At 56.7% G+C, this 8,537-nt stretch overlaps 2 annotated features.

The window, feature by feature from the left end:
• Positions 5,987-6,750: an enhancer, noted in NCBI's record as "H3K4me1 hESC enhancer chr22:44734211-44734974 (GRCh37/hg19 assembly coordinates)". NCBI's record gives its function as "activates a minimal SCP1, AML or CMV promoter by ChIP-STARR-seq in naive H9 embryonic stem cells {active_cell/tissue: H9 hESC(naive)}" and the evidence as "EXISTENCE:reporter gene assay evidence [ECO:0000049][PMID:30033119]".
• Positions 6,751-7,514: an enhancer, noted in NCBI's record as "H3K4me1 hESC enhancer chr22:44733447-44734210 (GRCh37/hg19 assembly coordinates)". NCBI's record gives its function as "activates a minimal SCP1, AML or CMV promoter by ChIP-STARR-seq in primed H9 embryonic stem cells {active_cell/tissue: H9 hESC(primed)}" and the evidence as "EXISTENCE:reporter gene assay evidence [ECO:0000049][PMID:30033119]".

Raw genomic sequence — 8,537 nt, 5'->3', positions numbered from 1 at the left:
AGACCAGGTTCCAGTGTGGCTGCGCTCCACTCACTGCTCCTCTGCTGCCTCTGTCATTTCTGCAAAAATTATCCCATTATATTTTCCAAGGACAAGCCAAGCTGTTGAGGCAGCAAGCTCATGTGTGGCTTGGTAACAATAATAAACCAGTGCTCCATGCTGAAGTCCTTGAGTCCACCTGTTGGCCTGGGGGAGGGAGGGGGAGAACTGGAAGGGGCCTGGGAGGCGGGAAGAGACGATCCTAATTACACAGTGGAATTAATCACAACACCTTCACTGAAAGGACTTCGCACATCATTATCTGCTGTGGGAAGAGCAGCTTCATTGGGGTGTGGGGAGAATTAATTATAGTTGGGGACGCGTTCAGAGGGTTGGAGATGAGAGGTACGAGGCAAGTACCAAATATGCTTATTAATCAAACATCAGTGCCAAGTTGCAGACGTGGCCAGACTGCTCCAGGTGTCCCGGGGGAGCTCAAGAGGCACCAGCCGCTGCCTGCCTCCCGGGCTGGCTCTCCAAGCCAGGCCTGTTGGAACCACATATGCGACTTCAGGCGTGGAGACCCCCTCTGGGCTGGACCCTGTCGTGGGTCACACTGGAGACACTGAGCCAAGGCAGAACCAAACCTGACTCTCTGGGAGCTCCTGGCAGTGACAGAGGCACAGATAGACAGTGTCACTTCATTGGGACCAGGGCTGTGATGGGCAGGAAGCACAAAGGAAGCAGGGACCCAGACTGGGGCTCAGAGAAGGCTTCCAGGAAGAGGAGACAAATGTTCTGGGTCCTCAGAGATAAAAAGGAGCAAGAGAGAAGTCCAGGAAAAGAAAACAGAGAGTATAAGGGTACCTTCAGAAAAGTTGAGAGGCTATGCAAGCCTAGGGTGGCCTTTGGCAGGAGAAGGGGCAAGATGGCAGGTGGAATCCAGACTTTAGCCTGAAAGTAAATAGGGAGCCACAGGAGGGTCTTGAGCGGGAGAGCGATGCTGTTGGATGTGGATTTCACACAGATCCTTTGGCTCCATGTGAAGGATGGCTCAGTGGGCCAGAGAATGGAGTCAGAGAGATTGTTGGCTACTGCCTAAGTCCAGGCAGGAGACAGTGAGTCTTGGACAAGATGGCACCAGTGAGTACTGAGAGGGGGGTACTAGGAGGAATGGCTGAGTATCTAGAGCTAGAGGACCGAGGGACTCTGCCCAGTGAAGCCAGCTCACCTAGGGACTGTGAGCCCCCGTTGTCAAGGGCAGAGTCCCATGCAGACCGGTCCCTATGTCTGTGGCACAGACCCATCCTGCGCTGACCGCCATACTCCAGAGTCCAGGTCGGGGCCTTGGCCAAGACAGTTTGTGGGTCCTCAGCCCTATTGACTCCACCCTGGGAGGCACCTGGCAGCCTGCAGGTTCCCATTTTTGCCCATCTGCACCCAACCCCCTCGCCAACCTTCCTCACTGCTCCCTCCCTCCTCTCCTGGCAGGCCAGGCTCTGCCCCAGGGTCCCCGAGCTGGCTCAGAAGGACAGGACCTCCGCTCTACTGACCAAAGGTGCTAGCCTTTTGCCTTGGGCAAGTCACTTTCCAGCCTCAGTTTCTTCGTTTGTGAGATGGGTGTGGTGATGACAGCACCCACATTGCAGCCATTGAGATGTTTCTGAAGTGCACAGAATTGCGCCCAACGAGCGGCTCAAAACAGCGGTTGTGGTTACTGTCACGGATGATGATACCAAGTGCCTAGCGGAGCACCTTGCACACGGCAGGTGCTTAAGATACAGCAGCGGTGACTGCTGTGTCTCAGTGAAATATCAAACTATAGGTACTGACCGCTAGTGGGGGCAGGCGGTGAGGACTGCAAAGCAGAGGCCCTACTGTGTGCCAGGCTTTGTGGTAAATCAGTTAGTTATATGGCCTCCACTGACCAACCATCCCAGGTCCCTAAAAGGGAGGAACTGTGGGCCCCGTTTCAAAGACGAGGAAATTGAGGCTTACAAAAGGAAAGTGTTTTGTCCAAGGGGGCACAGACAGGAGGCAGACCCAAGAGTCTGACTGCAAATCTGTAACTGTCACATTGAAATGAAACATGAAGGTGGCAAGGAGGCTCACTACGCAGGGGCCTTGAGCAACTCACCGGACCCTCAGAACCTCCATTTTCTCATCAGTAACTGAGGCTCATGCTGCTGGTCCTAGAAGGTCGCTCTAGCAAGCCAGGGTTCTGGGGATCCATCTTTGCAAGCAGTGCTCCCAGATATTCCCATGGTGCCCTGGGGCAGAAGGCAGCCCATCCTCTCTCTTGGCCTGGGCTCCAGTACCCGGCGTGGCATTCTGGGGGACCTAGAGCAGGATGTCAGCAAACCCAACCGCAGAGGGCCTGGTCCCTCATGGGGCCTGGATCCAGGGTGGAGAGACTGAGGCAGAGGCAGCTCCTGGACACCAAGTTGAAACCTGGCTTTCTCCAACTGAGAAAGCAATGTTGGCATAAATGATTCTGAAGGGTTTGGAAATCCAACCCAGCGCAGACAACATCTTCTACTGACCAGCTGTGTGACCCTGGACAGGGTACTTAACCTCTCTGATCCTTCCTATCCTCAGCTGTAACAGTGCAAAAATAATAGTGCCTTGCTCATGGTGGGCTGGTGGTGCTCATGAGGAAATGTTTGTAAAGGCCCAGGCCTGGCAGGAGGTTTATGAATCCAAGCTCTGGAAGCTGGAGTTTCCCTTCCTTTCTCCTCTTCCAAAGGAACCAGGGCTTGGCTGGTCCCGATCTGCCTGAGAGCCCTTGGACAGGGTCTGTGGAGTGTCCCAGGCCTGTGACCATGGGAACACCTCCCCCGGCTTCCTCATCTCAGTCTCACCCCGTCTGGCCCTTGGGCATCTCTGTGGCAGTTCTGGTTCATCTCAGATGTTGACTGGTGACCAGGCTGCGGCTGGCTGGTGCCCACACAGGCTTGGGCCACCTGGCCAGGGCCACGGCCTCCACCCTGCCGCTCAGCCCCGGGCTGGCGTCCCCACAGCTGGGAGCCTCACAAGAACAGAATTCAGACAGTCGCTGGAACCTGCCGCCAAAGCCTCTTCTTTCCCTGGGCTTTATGGAAACATGAGATTTTGCAATAACAAAGGTTGCTCCGTGAGGCCAAGCCAAACAATTTACAAGATTGGGAGAGGCTGCTCAGCACAATCAAAGAGGCCTGGAATTCCAGCCTGGGCCATGGGGGCCTGAGCTGTTTAATCCCAGATAACCTGCCTCTCGGCGCCTGGGCTAAACCAGCCAGAAGCCAGTGCTGTACAGAGCCTACCAGAGCCTCCCACTGTGAGCTGGAGGGGCCCGAACAGCAATGAGCATGGAGCAGGTGGGGAAACCAAGGCCTAGAGAGGTAGACCCAGGATAAGCTCCCACTCCAGAGCTCTCTACTCTGTTCTTTGTTGCACTGAGGTCAGGAGTAGAGGCTTAGGGCGGGGGCTAAGGAGGGACAGATCCAAGTTCAAATCTCAGCTGTGCACTGCCAGCTGTGTGCCCCTGGGCAAGTCCCCTAACCTCTCTGGGCCTGTTTGATTTTTTAATCTGTTAATAGGGAATGCATAGAAGTGACTCCTAGGATGGTTGTGAAGATTCAGGTAAACCACCTGAGTGACACCGTGAGGCACAGAGCCCCCGGTAAGTGGGGGCCTTCATTCGGCTTCAGTTAAACAGAGTGTTCTGCCAATACTCTGTGCCTAGCCCAGGAAGAATGGGGAGAGAAGGCACACTCCCTGTACTCAAGGAGCTGGTGACCTGGTCAGAGAAAAAAGGTAGATCTTAATCTCAGAGGGGCCATGTGACTCGTGCAGGGCACACAGCTACAAAGTTGAGGCTCCTGTTCTGGCCTGGGCTGCCTGCCTCCGCCTTGGGGATATAAAATGACTGGTCTACAGAGCAGAGCCCTCACCCTAGTGCCCCAAGACAGAAGCTCTGAGAAGGAGCTTCCCCAGCAGTAGCACGAGCATCTGCATCAGGGTCCTCAGATTTCTGCCCAGCTTTGCCTCTCACGGGCTGTGTGACCTCTGGCCCATGGCACAACCTCTCTGAGAAGAGGGTAGCACCTGACCCTATTCCCTGCATGGATGCAAGGCATGAGCAGGTGTGGAGGGCGCTCAGTGAACTTCAGGGACTCCCGCACACACCAAAGATCCTGCCTGTCATCGTGTTTGTTATTATTATTACTGCATTACTCTGGGGCCCGCTGCAGGGTAGGCGGGGCTCTGTGCAAGTGAGGCTCATTGCTGGGTGCTCAGCTCCACCTGCCAATTGGCACCATCTAAATTCTCGCCGTCCCGGGCTGGGTTTCAGATGCCTGGCGGTAGGATGCAGTGAGCTGTGACAGCCGCCAGCTGCAGAGATGCCAAGCCCGGGTTAGACGCACAGCGCCGGGAAACAGGAGTGGATTCCGCCATTTCCCCAGATGAACCTGATGCCACAGAGCTGTGGGGAGGGGTTGAGCATCTGAGCTATGGTGGGGACCTCTCACTTCCCCTGGACAGAACCTCTGCCTCCTGTGAGCCAGCCTTGGGCTGAGGCCAGTCATCACTGTCCCCGATTTACAGAGGAGGACATGGGGCGGCAGGAGGTAGCCAGTCCATCTGGTCCAGGTCCCCAGCTGCTACGTGGGGTGCCAGGAGGCAAGCCCAGGACACAGCCACAAAGCCAGAACCAGGGCCCTCATTCACCAGCCCCTCCCCCTGCCTGAGAGCCACTGTTCCAGCCACACCTGTCTCCTCAGCTCCTTGCCTGGGAAACTGTGATATTGACTATTGACAGCACTGACAAATAGCACCTACCCCACCTTACGATGTAATGCGCATCACACGCTGAGAACAGAGCCCGGTGCTACCCGAGCGGGGCTTATCATCAGTGATCGCCTACAGATGAGGAAACTGAGGCCAGGAACAGCCTGCATCCCCGGGGTCTCTTGTGTTTCAGCTTTGGGAAGTGAAGTTGGTGCTCCCCAGTCCCCCAAGCCTCCTGGCTCCGTGTCACCTCGTAGCCGACGTCCTCCCAGTGTGCCTGGGCTGCTCGGTGGTCCCTGACCCAGGGGCATCTCCATGGGCCCTGAGCCCTAGGACTCGGGGGGACAGACAGGTCTGCACAGCAGCCTCTGGAGTCCAGGCATTTCCCTGGGAGCTCAGTCCCTTGTGAGACTCAGCTGCCCCCAGCACATAGCAGGGCCCCTGCAGCCAATCTTCTCCAAACTGATGGAGACGATGTCTTTTCTTTCCCACGTTGAATGCCCAACCATCGGGAGCTCAGACTTCATCCTGAAGGTACCCATGGAAGGTCTGTAAGCAGAGGAGTGGCGAGGTCAGGGGCTGTCCCCTCGAGGGACAGTGGAGGATGGGCTGTAAGGCTCTGCACCCCTTTAAAAAGGCAGTAGCATGAGTGGTTGCTGAGGACGTGGGTATTTCTATTGCTGCAAAATGTAACAAACTGCCACAAACTTGAACTCTTAAATCACCACCCACCTGCTGTTTCACAGTCCTGGAGGCCAGAAGTCTGCGTGGGCTCAGTGGGTTATCTGCTTAGGGTCTCACAAGGCTGACCTCAAGGTATCAGCAGGGCCGGGCCCTCGCCTGGAGGCTCCTGGGCTTATCTGGGGGTGTCAGCAGAATCCAGCTCCTTGTGGCTGTAGGACTGAGGTCCTGTGTCCTTGCTGGTGTTGGTTGGGGGCTCTTAGCTCCTCACTGCCTTGCCCTGAGACCCCTGCACCGCACTGCCTCATGCCTACCCCTCTCACCCGGGGTCTCTTGGGCCCCAGCTGCTGTCACCAGTCAGAGAAAATGCTCTGCTTTTAAAGGACTCATGTGACAAGGTCAGCTGAGCCAGATCATCTCCTCTTAAGGTTTGCTGATCAGTCACCTTTGTGACACCTGCAAAGTTCCTTTCACAGTGCAGTGTAGTTACAGGGAAACACTGGGGAGGGGGGTCATGGTGTGGCTTAGAGCTGGGCCTGCTGCATGCACTTTGTTTGCAGACAGAAGCCGCCTCTTGCCTCCTTGCCAGGCCTGGAAGAGAAACCTGTGTTTACACTTGTGACCAAGAGGCAGGTGGGCAGGCCAGAGAGGAGGAGCTGGGAGACTGTGGAACCCCCAGGGATGAGATGATGGCCTTTGGCAAACCCCACTGCTGGCATCTGTGCAGTGCATCTGGCCTGCGAGCTTCCCGGACCCCGGCACCCAGCTCACCACACCTTCCAAATCTGTGGGACCGCAGTCAGCCATGGCGATGATGCCTGCACACAGAGCAACTACTACGTACCCAGCCCCAAGCAGTCAAGACTCACAATACAGCAGCAGCCAAGATGCAGATTCAGCTCTGACCCCACAGCCAGCACCCCTAACCAGTGGGCAGCCCTTCCTCCCTGTGACCCATCCCTGTAGCCACAGGGAAGCCATGGCTTTGCTGTGACACGAGGCTCCTGTGGTCAGTTGGGAGAGCAGGAGCAGGGACAGGCAGCCAGCCAGCCTCACCCACTGGCAAAGGCACAAGGGCGGCAGTGAGCAAGCCAGCCTTACACCTCAGAGGAGGCCAGGGCTGGGAGGCAGAGGCCTGGCTGCTGGCTGGCTCCTCTTTCCCTCCCAGGATCCTGGGCTGAGTCTCCCCACCTCACGGCCTCCGCCTCCTCCCAGGTAGACAGGTGGAGTGAACACAATGCCCTCCAGGGCCCACCAAAGTGCTTCCTCCTGCCTGGAATTGATTGATAAATAAGGAAACAGAAGCTCAAAGAGGTGACAACTTGACCCCGCCCTGTCCACCCTACCCAAGGAGCAGAGCAGCCACCCAGTCCAGGGCACTGCCCAGCTTGGCCACACCCTTGCCGGAGGACTTTGAGGGGGCAGGGTGCATCGAAATCTCTCTGAGCCCTCGATTTTGAATTTAGGAAATGGGGGCTGGGGGATTGGACCCCTTGGAGGAGGAAGGGGCTGGGGGTGGTCCTTGGGAGGGTGGGGGGCTGCTCCGCAAGGAAGCGGGGGAAGGTGAGGGAACGTGTCGAGACCTGGGACCAGCTGGTCGCACCAAACCGGAGCCCCCTCACCCTGCCCGCCCCAGGGTCTTGGCCTCCAAGCACCACCCTCTCAGAAAGGAAAGAGGGTGCGATGCCTCCTGTCCCCGACTCCCGATTAAATGGCTGCAATTTTGATGTGGCAGGTGATCTTCTCGGGAAGCCTGGCTTTAAATTTAGCTCCCTCCCCAGCCAGCCCTTTGAAAAGGCTGCTCTCCACCAAGGGAGAGAGCATGAGTCATCGCCAGGCCGCCCTGTGAGCAGTCGCGTTTGCGGGGGAGCAGGCCTCCCGAAGTCAGAGAAATAGTAAATAGGGATGGAGGATGAAGCCACGACAGATGTGGGGTGTCGGGCTTGGCCTGGCACGCAGTAGGTGCCCAGAAATGGGGCAGGGGAATGTCTCCCAGGGTAGTCTGCATAGTCACCTGCACATGCCTCCTCCAGCGCAGCCGGGAGCAGAGACGCAGCAGTATTTGTTGAATGGTCCGTGGATGACAGCTTACATGCTTACATGCTCCGTCTCACTGGACTCACACAATAGCCCCCGAGCCTACGCCCTCACCTGCCTCGGCAGATGCCTGGAGGGCGGAAGGCTTAAGAGTGCTCCCCTGCCCCCAAAGATATCCGCATCCTAATCCCTGGAACCTGCCAGTGCTACCTTATACGGCAAGCAGGGAAAAAAGGACTTTGCAGAAGGGGTTGAGTGGAGGATTTTGAGATGGGGGTATTATTTGGGATGATCAGGGTGGGCCCTAATGCAATCACAGGCATCCTTATAAGAGGGAGGCAGAGGGAGCATCCGCCCCGAGGCTGTGGGAAGAGGAGTGCAGGGAGATCTGAAGATGCTGCCCTCCAAGGCCGGGTGATGCCGCCGCAAGCTGAGGGTACCACTAGAGGCTGGAAGGGGACAGGAGGCTCCTCCCCTGGAGCCTCCAGGAAGAGCGGCCCCGCGCACCCCTGGATTTTGGCCCAGGGATACCCATTTGATTTCAGACTCTGGAACTGTAAAGTGGGTGGTCATCTGGTTGGGGCAGCACAGGACACGAGTGCACAGAGAAGTGAACGGCCTTGGCCAAGGCCATACAGCTGGTGAGTGGCCAAACAGAGATCCAAACCCAAATCCATTCAGTTCCAAAGTCCACCCTTTTTCCTGCCGACCCCTCGGCCTCCTGGAAAAGCAGAAGGGATGTTGATGAGACCAAGTACCCACGAAGCGCCAAGCATTCATTTATTTTGGGTTAATCAACAGGACCATTGCCTGTTATGATCTTGTCTCTCATCTAATCCTCACATTGACCCTTTGAGGTCATTCCCATTATGCAAATGGGGAAACTGAGGCTCAGGGAGGCAAAGTAGTTTTGTCCAAGGTAGGCGAGCCCATGCCAGAGACAGAAGGTGAAGGTGCAGGGCCCTGGGAGCACTGCGGAGGGCAGCCCAGCCCAGCACATAGTGGGCCTGTCATGGGGTTATGAGGAGGCCATGGAGTGACCGCCCAGGACAGCCACCGTGCCTTGCAGG

Source organism: Homo sapiens, chromosome 22, assembly GCF_000001405.40.
Source record: "Homo sapiens chromosome 22, GRCh38.p14 Primary Assembly".
In the NCBI taxonomy this organism is placed as follows: domain Eukaryota; kingdom Metazoa; phylum Chordata; class Mammalia; order Primates; family Hominidae; genus Homo; species Homo sapiens.
Note: the sequence above shows the minus strand (reverse complement) of the source record. Positions and strands in the feature narration are given on the sequence as shown.